The sequence below is a fragment of the Homo sapiens genome, chromosome 16 (genome assembly GCF_000001405.40).
Source record: "Homo sapiens chromosome 16, GRCh38.p14 Primary Assembly".
Classification (NCBI taxonomy): Eukaryota; Metazoa; Chordata; class Mammalia; order Primates; family Hominidae; genus Homo; species Homo sapiens.
Window position 1 is genome coordinate 85,758,669 of NC_000016.10, and position 15,875 is coordinate 85,774,543.

Below are 15,875 nucleotides of genomic sequence, written 5' to 3' on the forward strand. Positions count from 1 at the left end.
GAGATTGCGCCATTGCACTTCAGCCTGGGCGACAGAGCGAGACTCTGTCTCAAAAAAAAAAAAAAAAAAAAAAAGGGCTCCTCATTGAGGCTGTAATAAAACAATAATGGAGGGAAGGGAGGTCAAGGGAGGGAAGGGGTGCTTCACCCAGCACAGCAGCCAGGCCTTGACATGACCACATAACCCACAGATGCCACAGATGCCAGGCAGCCCCACTGCTGTGGCAGAGCCGAGGGTGCATGGGCCCCGCAGTCCCAAAGGCTGGCTCTGCAGCAGAGAGGGAGGAACATAGCTGGGCATGGCAGTGTGCACCTCTAACCCCAGTACTTTGGAGGGCTTAGGCAGGAGAATGGCTTGAGGATAGGAGTTCCACACCTGGGCAACATGGGAAGAAAACAAATTTAAAAATTAGCTGGACATGGTGGAGCATGCCTGTAGTCCCAGCTACTCGGGAGGCTGAGGTGGGAGGATCACTTGAGCCCCGGAGTTCAAAGCTGCAGTGAGTTACGATCGCGCCACTGCACTCCAGGCCGGGCAACCGAGTGAGAACCTGTCTCAAAAACACACATAGAAAGAGGAACAGCCTGGCCCCCGGTGGTGGGGGGCAGCCCTCCTGCAGGGAGGAGGTATGAGGGCAAAGTTGGTGCTAAGAAAACAAAAAGATTCACACGGAAAGAGGAAGGAAGCCAGAAAGCAGAAGCCATGGGACAGCAGGAGATGAAGGGGAGGAAAAGAGACAGGTGGGGCGCTGAAGACGACGGAGGAGCCGTGCCGGGCCTTGGGGGTGCCCCACTGATGCAAGCAAGGAGGGTCAAGCTGTCACGTGAGGAGCGAGCTGCCGGAGGTCCCCCATGAGTGGGGGCATTTGGGATTAGGAGTCAGGTCTCAAATTTCCTAGCCCACGCTTGGGACAGGAAGAATTATGGCAGTCTCCCACTCGCTCATTCATTCCTGACATTATTTCCTGAGCATCTCATACGTGCTGGACACTTGGTCAGGTGCTGGCAGTCTGGGGAACAGACAAGCAAGACCCCTGCCTCATGGAGCCTGAGGCCGTGGGCAGAGACCCTGACTGATGGTGAGTGTGAGGCGGGTGTGGAAGCAAAGTGGAGGGGCCGGAGGGGCAGATGGCAGGGCTGGGATTAGAGAGGGCAGGGCCGGGAGGGCAGGATCAGCAGGTGAGGAGGCTGATGGACTGGACCCGAGGGCATGGGCAGTGTGATCCTCGGAGACCTGCAGGTGCTGGGGTCCCATTCTGGAACTCTGTGCCAATGCTAGCAGCTGGCTACGGAGGCGTTTTCAGCAGGGGCGGGCGGTCAGATCAGTGGCTGCCTGGGAAGCCGGCTCCACCTGCTGGTGGGGTGAGTGGGCGCAGGGCAGGGCTGTTGGGGCACAGAGAACTCAGTCAGGAGAACGGGGGCTGTGTTGGGAGGTGGGCAATGCCTGGGTCGGTGAGCTCCCCAGGAGCCTATAAAGATGTTCCAGAGCGGAAAAAAAACCCTCAAAACTAAAAGCAAAAGATTGCTTCGTAGCCATAAAGAAATAAAGAATGACAAAGCTTTTATATCCTGTCTTTTTGTTGTTGTTGTTGTTTTTGAGACGAGATCTTGCTCTGTGGCCCAGGCTGGAGTGCAGTGGCATATCATAGCTCACTGCAACCTCCACCCTCTGGGCTCAAGCGATCCTCCCATATCAGCCTCCCAAGGAGCTGGGAGTACAGGAGCACGCCACCATGCCTGGCTAATTGTTTTCATTTTTTGTAAAAACGGGGTCTCACTATATTGCCCAAGTTGGTCTCAACCTCCTGGTCTCAAGTGATCCTCCTGCTTTAGCCTCCCAAAGTGCTGAGATTACACGTGCACGGCACTGTGCCTGGGCTGTTACGTTCTGATATGGAAAGATCTCCAAGTGAAAAAATGCAAGGTGCAGAAGACCATACAAATGTTCAATCATTGCATAAAAAAGGGAGGAGAGGCTGGGCGCAGTGGCTTAAGCCTGTAATCCCAGCACTTTGGGAGGCCAAGACGGGTGGATCATGAGGTCAGGAGTTCAAGACCAGCCTGGCCAATATGGTGAAACCCCGTCTCTACTAAAAATACAAAAATTAGCCAGGCGTGGTGGTGGGCACCTGAAATCCCAGCTACTGGGGAGGCTGAGGCAGGAGAATCGCTTGAACCTGGGAGGTGGAGGTTGTTGCAATGAGCTGAGATCGCACCACTGCACTCCAGCCTGGGTGACAGAGCCAGACTCCGTCTCAAAATAAAAATAAAAATAAAAAGGGAGGAGAACCTGGATCTGCACTTTCTGAAGCATAAAACATCTCCATAAGGTTCCGATGGAAACCAGGGCTTTTGGCTGCCTGTGAGGAAGGGAATGGGGTGGGCAGAGGTCCTGGGAGACTTTTTCTCTATGTCCTTTGTTCCTCCTGCAACTTGGATCATGAAAATGTATTATCTAGTCCAAAAGTTAAAAAACAAAAAAACAAAAAAACAAAAACCTTATGGGTTCTACAATATGGAGAAAACTGCAAAATCCAAGCTAATGAAAGTTTACTTGAGACACAGAAACTTTGTCATTAAGTGTAGTCTTCACAACGATTTCAGTATGTTTAGAAGCCAAATGAAGTTTAGCTTCACTAATCTTCCTGAATATGCGTGATTGCCAAGCAGTCACGGCCACCGTTACTTTTTTTTTTCTTTGAGACGGAGTTTCGCACTTGTTGCCCAGGCTGGAGTGCAATAGCGCAATTTCGGCTCAATGCAACCTCTGCCTCCTGGGTTCAAGCGATTCTCCTGCCTCAGCCTCCCAAGTAACTGGGATTACAGGCATGTGCCACCACGCCTGGCTAATTTTGTATTTTTAGTAGATATGGGGTTTCTCCATGTTGGTCAGGATGGTCTCGAACTCCCGACCTCAGGTGAGGTCGCCTTGGTCTCCCAGAGTGCTGGGATTACAGGCATAAGCCACCACGCCCAGCCCACCATTACATTTAAGTTAACTTTAGCCAAATAATTTCAAATGCAAAATTATAAAAATTAGTTTTTAAATGTTCCAGAACAAATGGTATTTAATGGTGTAAATGGGTGGGATTTTTTTATAAGCTTGCTGGGCTCAGGAGTGGGACCTCCCAAAACAAGAGAGTTGGAGGCCCCAGCTTTGCTTGGGGTTGACATCGTGGTATGGAAAGATGGGATGGGTGTGTCGGGGAGTGGAGAGGTAAAGTGAGTCCCTGAGACGTGGGGTGGGTGGGGTAGGGGCAGGGATGGGATCTGTGGCCAGGCGGATAGGGATGAAGCATAGCTCCCAGATTTCAGCCTTGTGCCCCACTCAGCCCATGGGTGAGCTTGCTTTGTTGAATTAATTATTTCCTGCCAAATTCAGGAAGTAGCAGATGTTGAAACCATCTCGAAGACACAAAGATTGGTACTTTGCTAACTGCAGGGAACTTGTTGCCTTCAAGCAATAGGCATTTCTGTTCATAGACCAATTATATCCCGAGAAGGACAGGAATGACATTTATTTGAGGGCACACCTGGGGACCTCACCTGTCCACACCTCGACAGAGAATCAGGAGGCAGCAGAGGAGCCTAGGGGGACCCAAAGCCTGGCACCAAAGACCACCCAGCGATCAGAGGCAAGAGCTGGCCCAAACTTTTGGCCTAACTGTACATATGCTGAATAAGCTTGGCTTTTCCAGCTGAGTGTAGCAGAAGCAGCCGTCTGAAGATGGTTTAGGTAGGCTGCGGGGAAGGGGCTGCAGGGAAGGAGGTTGAACACGCCGCCCTGCCCTGACGCAGCAGGAGCGAGAGCTGATGACCAGAGGAGGAGAATGAAGAACTGTGAAAAGGATCCCCAACATCCAAACAGGGTGGCCGCTGGGAGAGCTGTGGAGGGACTCCCAGTCCAGTGCTCTACGCCCAGTAGTGCCAAGAGCATTTTGGTCCAACAGAGTCCAGCCTCGTACCTCCCTACACCACCATTTGTCATAAAGAAAAGGATAAATGCCATTGTTAGACATTTCTCCCCTAAAACCATTACCATGTTTAATTAAGCATTGTGCTTAAGGGGCTAAAAGTCAGGTACCTGAAACCTTAAGTAAAATATTTTTTCCCAAGTGTTCCAAATGAGTAGGGTTTCCGCACATCTTTGAAAAGAGAGGGGAGTGCTGTTGAGTCCAGCGGGCTTCCCTGCGAGATTCAGACCACGTGCCCCAACTGTACATGGGTGAACCAGAGGCTGCAGGGTTAGAAGCCTTAACACTCTTCCTAAAGCCTGCCTGGCTCAGCTGCTCGGACCGGCAGCTTCAAAGTTAACTTTTCTCGAGCATCACAGTGGGCGCCATGGTGTGCAGGCCCCTGCTGGGGCTGGCCTGGGCACCGTGCCCTGGGGGCTGAGCACAGCTTTGGCATTCTTCTTCCGTGAGGCCTCTGGGGCAGGCAGAGCAGGTGGCTCGAAGCCTGCTACAGTGTGGTCCTGGCCCCCCGTGGGCTTTGGATGAACACATGGGAGGCAGTGCTAGAAGCATGGGGGTGTCACATGCATTGGCCAGGGGCTGGGAGGGGCCAGGGGTGCACACCGGACCCCAGAGGGGCCTGAGCTGTTCTGCAGGATGCTGCTTCCCGGGTCAGCGTGGGGCTTCCCGTGAGGCCCTGCCCAGGGAGTAGGCTGGCTGGGGAACGCTCGGGCAGTCCTTCATGGGCATGGCTCCTCAGCCCATTCACTCACTTCACCTCACGTCAGGCCCCTCACCAAGGGACCTGCCTCTCTGCACAGTCTGAGAACACCAGGGATGGGGCCAGCTGGGACTCTGACGCACCGTGGTCCTGTTCTCAAGGGTCTGTTCCCTCCCACACTCCTTCATTCGCTCACTTACTCGCTTCTTCATTCATTCATCCATTCATCCACTTACGAAGCCCTCCTGGGCACCTCCTGTGGGGTGCCAGGCCGGCAAGGCCTACGGCCAATAGAAATCTAGCTCAAGCCACAAGTGCCACTTACAATTTCCCAGTAGCCATGTTAAAAAAAAGAAAAGTAAAAAGAAACAGGTGAAATTCATTGTAATAACATCTTTCATTTAACCCAATTTATCCAAAAATTATCATTTCAGCATGTCATCAATATTAAAATTATTTTAATTTTCATATTAAATCAATATTAATATTTGATTTAATATTAAAATATTAAAATAAGATAGTTTCCATTTCTCTTCTTTTTGTCTTAAGTCTTGGAAAGCTGGTGTGTATTTTACATTAAAGCACACCTTGACTCGAGCCAGCCAGGGGTCAAGGGCTCTGGAGCCACCTGTGCCAGTCAGGACAGTGCAGGTCTAGGTCTAGGAATACAAAACACAGGGACACCCAGACCCTTTACCGAGGGGATCTCTGCCTAGTCGCGGAGCTGACCCTGATATAATTCCAGGCTTGGCCGGGCGCAGTGACTCACACCTGCAATCCCAGCACTTTGGGAGGCCAAGGCGGGCAGATCACGAGGTCGAGATTGAGACCATCCTGGCCAACATGGTGAAACCCCATCTCTACTAAAAATACAAAAATTAGGCCAGGCTCACGCCTGTAATCCCCGCACTTTGGGAGGCTGAGGCGGGTGGATCACGAGGTCAGGAGATGGAGACCATCCTGGCTAACATGGTGAAACCCCGTCTCTACTAAAAATACAAAAAATTAGCCGGGTGTGGTGGCGGGTGCCTGTAGTCCCAGCTACTCGGGAGGCTGAGGCAGGAGAATGGCATGAACCCGGGAGGCAGAGCTTGCAGTGAGCCGAGATCACGCCACTGCACTCCAGCCTGGGCGACAGAGCGAGACTCCGTCTCAAAAAAAAAAAAAAAAAAAGAATGACTGACCTTGAGAAAGCCACCTAATCTCCCTGTACTTCAGTTCCCACGTCTGAAAAAGAGGGATGACAGTACCTATGTCAGTGGAACTATTTTGATGTAGGACAAAAATACAGCCATGTTTTAATGACCAGCATCTGGAAACGGAAGCCCCTCATCATTAGCAGTCGTGAACATTTAGCGAGAGCTTGCTATGTGCTAGACACCAAAAAGCCACGTAAGCACAGCACGCATAAAAGGCAGACACTCATTATGCTCCCATTTTACAAGTAGGACGCTGAGGCACAGGGTGGTGAAGTAAGTTGCCCAGAGTTACCAGCCAGGTAAGTGGCGGAGCCAGGATTTGAACTCAGTCGGGTTCAGAATTTGCATTTTTACCCCCTTCTGTATACTGCCTCTAATCAATGCTCATTTCTTTCCTTTTCCAGAGATTGAAAATTATTTTTAAAGTCTACAGGTGCCACATCACCCACTGGCGCTTGGTGCCTAGGCTAACCCCTTAAGAGGCAGGTGGTACCTGCGCTGGCTGCTGACGGCTTACGGCTGAGCCTCGGGGCTGGGCCCTCTCCCTATGGCCCAGTATCTCTGGAAGGGAACCCCGGCAAACCAGGGTCCATCCGCATATCAAAGGTTGCTGAGGACTTCACAACCAATCGCCCCATCTTTCCATCTTTCAGCCATAAAAATATTTGACAGAGTGGTGTCTGCACAGAAGGGGGATTCCCTGAGTCCTAGAGCCCGCCCTTAAGTTGTCCTGGGAGCCTGGAGAGCCAGCTCACCTCCCCAGGAGCCCCTGGCTGCCTCAGCTGAGGATGGAGGGTGGTTACAGCTCCCCTGCAGCTCCCGAGAAAAAAGCTGGATGCTCAGAAATTCTCTTCCGGCAGTGACTTCTCCTCCATGAGCAAATGAATTGTGCATCAAATGAACGCGATCTTCCCTCCAGGCGCTGCCAGCCAACGGTGTGAAGAAAATGAACTCTCTTCTCTACATGCCATTTAATTTCAATATCTGATTTAATTTCAGTTGGAATGACTCATACTCCACCGTGCCTGGGTGGGGGTGGGGGCAGAGGTGGGGGTGGGAGGGAACCCATAGCGCAGCCACTGCTTTGTCCGTATAGATTTTTTGTGATCCTTACATTGCAAACAAACTGGAGTACATATGACTTCTGCTGTAAGAAACTAAAGATAGCATTTTTGAAAATTCACCAAAAAGGGGTACAGGAAAGTGCTGGGCACACAGTGGGCACCCAGAAGGTGGCATTAAGTATTGAGAGGAGGTGAAGAGAGAGGGCAAAGAGGAGGAAGCTCTTCCCACACCTCCCAGGGACCTGGGGCAGGGGAGGAGACCAGGCTGCTCCCCCGCCACACACAGGAGCTCTGCCCGGAGCCCCCTCCCAGGCTCCCACCCACCTTCCCTCCTACCTCTGGGGATAAGAGATCAGTAGCCACCTTGGGTCTCAGGGACCTCGCTCAGGTTGGGGACAGTCACTCGCTCTTCTGGGCCATCTGGGCTGTGGCTGCTCCCCGTCCCTTCCTGGCCCACTCTTTGCAGACTCTGCCCATTCAGACTAAATGCCTGGCCTTTGCAGAGAAGGGAAATTATCCTTAAGCTCAGGCCTTGCCGTTGCCCGCGTGGCTGTGGGAAGCTTTAATCCCTTGTTCCATATCCCACTGTCTGGCTGAGGTTAGAGGAATGGACCAACCCGAGCCCATGCCGAAGACAGAAGCCCATGTGGTGGGGGAACTAAGCCACTGCCAGGGAGGAAGACTGACGGTGGGCGTGTTCCCGGGAAGAGGAAAGCACTTCTGCAAATCTGTCCTGGGTAAGGCAGGTGTGGGGATCTTGGGGGACCCTAAGGGTGACACTGGGGTTAGTATGGGAGATTCAGGAAATGGTTTCCATACAGCATAGGGGGAAATTTCTGGCAATCAGCAGCGGGCTTGAGCTGCTCAAGACCCAGTGAGTTCCCCGAACGTCGCGGGTTAGGCACGGGCTGATCGCTGCACTGGATTTATTGGAGAGGTTGGATCTGATGCCTGTTTCATTTCCTTGCAACCCTGAGAGGCTTGGAGGAGAGTTTCCAGTTTCCTCATGAGAACTAGTTGTGTGTGGCCTCGGCTCTTCGAGGCTGGACCTCAGGGAGGAAAAGCAGAATCCAGTCCCCCACGCCCAGCTGGGACCCTTAACATGGCAGTGGGAGAGAGGTGGTGGCTGGTGGTGATCCCCATACTGGGGTTTCAGGCAGCCCAGGAGGGTTCCCCCTTCCCTGTGCCCCCTTCCCAGATCTCTTTTCCTGATGCTCCACTATTGTTTTATTCTTTCTTTCTTTTCTTTTCTTTTCTTTTTTTTCTTTTCTTTCTTTCTTTCTCTCTCTCTCTCTCCCTCCCTCCCTCCCTCTCTCTCTCTCTCTCTCTCTCTTTCTTTCTTTCTTTCTTTCTTTCTTTTGAGACAGGGCCTTGCTCCGTCACACAGTCCGGAGTGCAGTGGCCTAATCATGGCTCTATGGCACCCTCAACCTCCCGGGGTCAAGTGATTCTCCCACCTCAGCCTCTGAGTAGTTGAGGCTATAGATGCACGTCACCACGCCCATCTAATTTGTATATTTTTAATAGAGACAGGGTTTTGCTATGTTGCCCAGGCTGGTCTCTCAAACTCCTGACCTCTAGCGATTCACCTGCCTCGGCCTCCAAAAATTCTGGGATTACAGGCATGAGCCACCGAACGCCACCTTATTTTAAAATTAAGATAAAGTTCATGGCCAGGCACGGTGGCTCACATCTGTAATCCTAGCACTTTGGGAGGCTGAGGCAGGTGGCCCATTTGAGTTCAGGAGTTCAAGGCCACCCACTGTGGCGAGGGTTCCTGTACCCACTGCCAGACTCTGTCCATCCCCATCGGCTGACCCAGAAGTCACGAGGGAGTGACGCTCCGTGGAACCACGGCGCAGGAGGTAGCAGCTAGGGGCAAGAAGGGCTTCCTGTGCCATCTCAGCCGCCTCTCCTGACCTTCTCTGCCCAAACCCCCACAGACTGTCACCTCCCTGCCACCCGGACTTGCAAATGGGAGCCCCACCTGTGACCCTTCTTGCTTGGCGCTCCATCCTCCCCGGGTACCTCCCTGCCCCTCCAGGCACTCAGGTTCCTTCCTGTCTGCGGCCTTCCCTGCACTCCATTACTCTCTCAACACTGCCCGTAGTCCCCAGGCTACCCTTCGTGCTTTCCGTTATCCCAAACACAGCACCCAGAAAGGCTGAGTAATAGGACAGTGAGTCAGCCTGGGTAAGACTTTCGAAGGCAGAGTCTGGGTGGGGCAGAGCTCAGAGCAGCTATGCCCAACATTCCTGGAGGTTCAGGGAAGACATGGGATCTTCAGAACACCTAGGGCTGTGTCAGGGTGGGCTGCTTGGGATGTGCATATGGGAAGTGAGCCAAGGGACCCCTTGCTGAAGATGGGGAGATACCCAGGTAAGCTGGCACTTTCTTTGGGTCCTGGACTTTTTTTTTCCCACCCGCTTTGCTCCACGGGTCCCCTAGTGAAAATGCATCCCTCCTTTTTCTACTTCCAGCCTACGTGCCTGCCCAGATGCAGTCCTGCCTGCTTCCCTCTGCCCAGGTGTAAAGGCGGAGGGGCTGTGTGAGCAGACGCTCTACCTACCGTGAGAACCATATCCCAGTAACTATGGAGACCACCACCCTGACGGGAGAGTCCCAGGATGTCTGTTTAAACACTGCCTTCCTCCCAAGGCCTCCAGTGGGTGAGGAGCTCTGGGTCTATGGGACTCTCAGGCACAGTTTGGAAAATTGCCTCTTATTGCAGAAGTAATTTAGCACAGAGCTCAGCTGACCTCAGGGCAGCCATTTTACCAGCAGGATCTGCAAATGGTTTTGAGCTCCTCAGAAAGCTGGCACTGAGAGAATTCCAGGCACCGTAGGTGACTAACAGAACAATCAGATTCTGGGAGGTCTTGCTCTGAGCTCCAGGGCAGGACTGGTGGGAGGCCAGGCTGGTAGAGGCAGTAGGTGATGACATCCAGGGTGGGACTATATAGCCTTTCTTAAAAGCCCCTCAGAGGAAAACCACTCAACAGTGCAGGAGAGATCCACGGCTGAAACCCTCAGACCAAGAACCACTGCTACCTATGTGCCCAGGCCAGGTACCGAGGCCAAGAATTTCAAGAATATTCAGGCCTAGGACTGAAAGAGGCAGTGGAGGCTGCTGTTTGTTTGAAGGCATTCTGACGCTCAGTCACACGTGTGAAACTGTCCTGGGGTATCCAGGGCACTTGGACTGTGCACACAAAGAGGATTCTGCTTCTAAACATTTTCTTCCCATTAAAAAACAGACTGATGGCCCAGTGTGGTGGCCCACGCCTATAATCCCAGCACTTCAGGAGGCCGAGGTGGGTGGATCAGTTGAGGTCAGGAGTTTGAAACCAGCCTGGCCAACATGGTGAAACCCCATCTCTACTAAAAATACAAAAAAATTAGCCAGGCATAGTGGTGCACGCCTGTAATCCCAGCTACTGGGGAGGCTGAGGCAGGAGAATTCCTTGAACCCGGGAGGCAGAGGCTGCAGCCGAGACTGCGCCACTACACCCCAGCCCGGGCAACAGAGGGAGACTATTTCTTTTTTCTTTCTTTCTTTTTTTTTAGACAGAGTTTCCCTCTTGTTGCTCAGGCTGGAGTGCAGTGGCGCGATCTCAGCTCACCCCAACCTCTGCCTTCCGGGTTGAAGCGATTCTCCTGCCTCAACCTCCCTGTTAGCTGGGATTACAGGCATGTACCACCACGCCTGGCTAATTTTGTATTTTTAGTAGAGATGGGGTTTCTCCATGTTGGTCAGGCTAGTCTTGAACTCCTGACCTCAGGTGATCCGCTCGCCTCAGCCTCCCAAAGTGCTGGGATTACAGGCGTGAGCCACTGCGCCTGGCCGAGACTATTCAAAAAAAAAAAAAAAAAAAAAAAAGAGGAAAGAAAGGGAAGAAAACAGACTCATGGCCAGGTGCCATTGTCCAAGTCTGTAATCCCAGCACTTTTGGAGGTCAAGGCGGGAGGATCACTTCAGCAGTCCAGGCCAGGTGAAAGAGTGAGACCCTGTCTCAAAAAAACAAAAACAAAAACAGACTCATGTTCTCACTTGGCTTCTCTTTGATGACATTAGTGAGGCAATTTTCATATGTTTATGAGCCATTTGGATATCTTCTTTTGAGATGTGCCTAATCTGGAAAGAAGCCTTGTTTTGTTTTTTTCGGAGATGGGGTCTCACTCTCTCATGCAGGCTGGAGTGCAGTGGTGTGATCATAGCTCACCACAACCTCAAACTCCTGGGCTCTAGCGATCCTCCCATCTCAGCCTCCCAATTAGCTGGGACTATAGGCGTGTGCCATGGCACCCGGCTCTGGAAAGAAGTCTTTTGCTGGATAATTGTTGGGTAATTGTATTACAAATATCTCCCACTGTGGGATTTCCCTTTTTACCACCCTGTTTTTTAATGAACAAAAGTTCTTAATTTTAATGTAGCACAACTTATTGTTTATGTGTCCTGTTTAAAAATCTTTGCCAAGCCCAAGGTCATGAATATATCCTCCTGTTATTGTCTAGAAGATGTATCGTTTTACTTTTCATATTTTGACCAAGAATCTGTGAGATACTACTACATACTACCAAAATGTCTAACATAAAAAAGACTGATGGCTGGGTGCAGTGGCTCACACCTGTAATCCCAGCACTTTGGGAGGCCATGGCAGGCAGATCACTGGAGCCTAGGAGTTTGAGACCAGCCTGGGCAACAGGGCAAAGTTCTGTCTCTACCAAAAAAGTAGCTCAGTGTGGTGACGCACACCTGTAGTCCCAGCTACTTGGGAGGCTGAGGTGGAAGGATTGCTTGAGCCGGGAGGTCAAGGCTGCAGTGAGTTATCATTGCACCACTGCACTCCAGCCTGGGCGACAGAGTGAGACCCTGTCTCAAAAAAAAAAAAAAAAAAAAAAAAAAAGGCTAATAACACAAAGTTCTGAAGATCTGAGGACATGGGAACTCTCAGACACTGCGGGTGGGAAGTTCAGCTCGTACAATCACTTTGTAAAACTGGCAACATATCTTGAAAAGCGAACACACACACACCCCTAGCAAGTCCACGCTACATATCCTGAAAGAAAAGCATACACAGGTGTGTGGCAAGGCACGTGCAGGAATGTTAACTGCAGCATCAGCTGTGTTAGCCCAAATCTGGAAATAACCCAAATATCCATCAACATAGAAATGGATAAATTGGGGTACATTGATACAACAAAATAACACACAGCGGTGAAAATGAATAAAAGATTGCTACATATCAGGTCACAGGTGAATCTCACACGCACAGTAAGAATACTTATTGTCTGCTCCCGCTTACACAGGCTCAGAGCCAGGCAGAACTAGTCCAGGGTGTGGACACAAGGGCTCCTGGGTGCTGGGGCGTCTTAGAGCCTGTTTTTTGAGCTTGGTGGTGCTTCCAGGAGCCTGTCCTTTTGCTTACCTTGTGAACCTCCGCTGAGCTATACCCTTATGATTTGTGTCCTTTTCTGGGTACCTCTTAAACGTCAATAAATAAGTTTTATTTTCAAAAACACCCTCTGCCAAATACAACTAAGATGAGGATACAAACAAAATTTAGGGTATTCACATAGTGGGGGTCCAAACAGTGGTTCTGGAAATGAAGTGTTTACATAATCCTGAAAATATCAATTACAATTTTTTTTTGAGGCATCTCATGTGTTCCTGGTGGTGGAACACTTTTATTGGCAAGATTGTAATTCAAGGCCAGGCGCGGTGGCTCACGCCTGTAATCCCAGCACTTTGGGAGGCTGAGGCGGGTGGATCACCTGAGGTTGGGAGTTCGAGACCAGCCTGACCAACATGGAGAAACCTCATCTCTACTAAAAATACAAAATTAGCCTGCATGGTGGCGCATGCCTGTCATCTCAGCTACTTGGAAGGCTGAGGCAGGAGAATAGCTTGAACCTGGGAGGCAGAGTTTGTGGTAAGCCAAGATTGTGCCATTGCACTCCAGCCTGGGCAACAAGCGCAAGACTCCATCTCAAAAAAAAAAAGTGTTCCGGCCAGGCACGGTGGGTCATGCCTGTAATCCCAGCACTGTGGGGGCCCGAGGCGGGTGGATCACGAGGTCAGGAGTTCGAGACCAGCCTGGCCAACATAGTGAAACCCTGTCTCCACTAAAAATACAAAAAATTAGCTGGGCGTGGTGGCGGGCGCCTGTAATCCCAGCTACTCGGGAGGCTGAGGCAGGAGAATCGCTTGAACCCAGCAGGCGGAGGTTGCAGTGAACCGAGACTGCGGCATTGTGCTCCAATCGGGTGACAGTGCGAGACTCCGTCTAAAAAAAAAAAAAAGTGTTGTACCATACAACTCTATCAACAAATTTAAATGTCAGACTTCACAAGCCAAAAATAAAGAATCCCAACATTTAGGAGAGAGATGATTAGAAGGATATTCAGCCATTGGGGGGATTTTAGGTGATTTTGCTTTTTTAGTTTGTACCTTTTTGTGTTTGGATAAAAAAAAAAAAACCAACAAGCCATTATCCTGGTGACAAAGGTAGAGCTATTTTGAAGGAAATAGGGATCAATACCCTGTCTCTGGGGGCATGTCCTGCACACACAGGGACTGGGCCAGGGCCCCAGAGACCAGACAGGCAGCTGACAGAGAGGCCTTGCTACAGAGCTGCCTGCTGGAAGTGGGGAGTACGTGACAGACTAGAGATTCAACTTCTGAAAAATTAAGTAAAAATAACAACTACGGGCGGGCGCGGTGGCTCACGCCTGTCATCCCAGCACTTCGGGAGGCCAAGGCGGGCGGATCACCTAAGGTCAGGAGTTCGAGACCAGCCTGGCCAATATGGTGAAACCCCATCTCTACTAATAATACAAAAATTAGCCAGGTGTAGTGGTGGGCGCCTGTAATCCCAGCTACTCAGTGGGCAAAGACAAGAATCGCTTGAACCCGGGAGGTGGAGGTTGCAATGAGCTGAGATCACGCCATTGCATTCCAGCCTGGGTGACAAGAGTGAAACTCCATCCCAAAAAAACAAACAAAAAAACACCAATAAACAACTAGGTCTTCTATGTGTAGGATGCTTTGGGAGACAGAAAGCAGTGTAAAGCCCTGTCATTTCTTGCCGTCCTGGCTCCAGGGCTGAGATGGCTCACAATCTGTCTGCTTTATATTGCTCCAATGTTCTTTTTTTTTTTTTTGAGATGGAGTCTCGTTCTGTCGCCCAGGCTGGAGTGCAGTGGCACGATCTCAGCTCACTACAAGCTCCGCCTCCTGGGTTCACGCCATTCTCCTGCCTCAGCCTCCCAAGTAGCTGGGACTACAGGTGCCCACCACCAAGCCCAGCTAAATTTTTGTATTTTTAGTAGAGATGGGGTTTCACCGTGTTAGCCAGGATGGTCTTGATCTCCTGACCTGGTGATCCACCTGCCTCAGCCTCCCAAAGTGCTGGGATTACAGGCGTGAGCCACCGCGCCCCCATGTTGCTCCACTGTTCTTAATCGAGATCACATTCACACATTCTTTGTGCAATAAATTTTGAAAGAGCAGAAAATCAGATGGCCTCCTGTGGAGACAGATAACAGCGTTCATTCAGGAGGTCTGAATTCTGTTAGGTCGACTCCTATGAAATTGCTGATGTTTGAGGTTTTGACTTACTAAATTAGCAATTTCATAGCATTCAACCTTATGCCCCAATTCTTCAGTTCCTGGCTGAACATGTGCCATTGGCCAAATTGCTTATTTCTGCATATTTGAAATTCGCAAGCCGGGTGCGGTAGCTCCTATCTGTAATCCCAGCATTGTGGGAGGCTGAGGTGGGAGGATTGCTTGAGGCCAAGAGTTCCAGACCAGCCTAAGCAACATAGTGAGATCTTGTCTCTATAAAAAATAAAAAAAATTAGCCAGGTGTGGTGGTATGCACTTGTGGTCCCAGCTACTTGGGAGGCAGAGGTGGGAGAATGGCTTGAGCCTGGAAGGTCAAGGCTATAGAGTCGTGATTGTGCCACTGCACTCCAGCCTGGGTGACAGACCAACTCCGTCTCAATAATAATAATAATAATAATAAAATGAAATTCTTCATAGTAAAATGCAGGTTTTGGCTAAAGATCAGGGTTATTTATAGCATGGCCTGAATCCACCTGCTAAAAATGCAGGATTTGGGCCCCAAATCTCAACGAATCTGAATTCTCTGGACCTGAGCCCAGGAATCTGCACAAACTTTGTAATATTTTACTGGTATTTATGCCTTTTGCTTTTTTTTTTTAAAGAAACGGGGTGCTGCGTGTGGTCGCTCAGGTAATCCCAGCGCTTTGGGAGGCTGAGGCAGAAGGACTGCTTAAGCCCAGGAGTTAAAGACTAGCCTGGGCAACATACCAAGACCCTGTTACCAAAAAAAAAAAAAAAAAAAAAAGAGCGAGAGAGACAGATGGGGTCTTGCTCTATCACCCAGGCTGGAGTGCCATGGCATGATCATGGCTCACTGCAGCCGCAAACTCTTGGGCTCAAGCAATTTTCCTGCTTCAGCCTTCTGAGTAGCTGGGACTACAGTGTGCCCCACCATGTCTGGCTAATTTTAATTTTTTTTTTTTTTTTTGTAGAGATGGGATGTCAGTATGTTGTCTAGGGTGGTCTCGAACTCCTGGCCTAAAGTGATCCTTACACCTCGGTCTCCCAAAGTGCTGGTATTTCAGGCGTGAGCCACTGCACCCAGCCCACCTTTTACTTCTTAGATTACATTGTAAGCTCCTCAAATGCAGGCGCCATGCTTTCCATTTCTTTGTATCTCAGGATCTGGGACAATAAAGGTGTTCACAAAATCCCTGCTGGTTCGACTACTTTCTGTCTTCCTTACACTTGTCTAGTGAAGGAGCGGGCATGGGAGAATGGAGATATTTTTATTTTCTCTTTGATTTTCTACCATGAACATACATTGATTTTGTAGAAAGGAAGAAAATGTATTAAAACTGGGGTGGGG

General features: G+C 50.3%; 1 annotated feature.

Moving 5' to 3' along the window:
- Window positions 1,219-1,298: an enhancer, noted in NCBI's record as "active region_11288". NCBI's record gives its function as "activates an Ori minimal core promoter by ATAC-STARR-seq in GM12878 lymphoblastoid cells {active_cell/tissue: GM12878}" and the evidence as "EXISTENCE:reporter gene assay evidence [ECO:0000049][PMID:35858748]".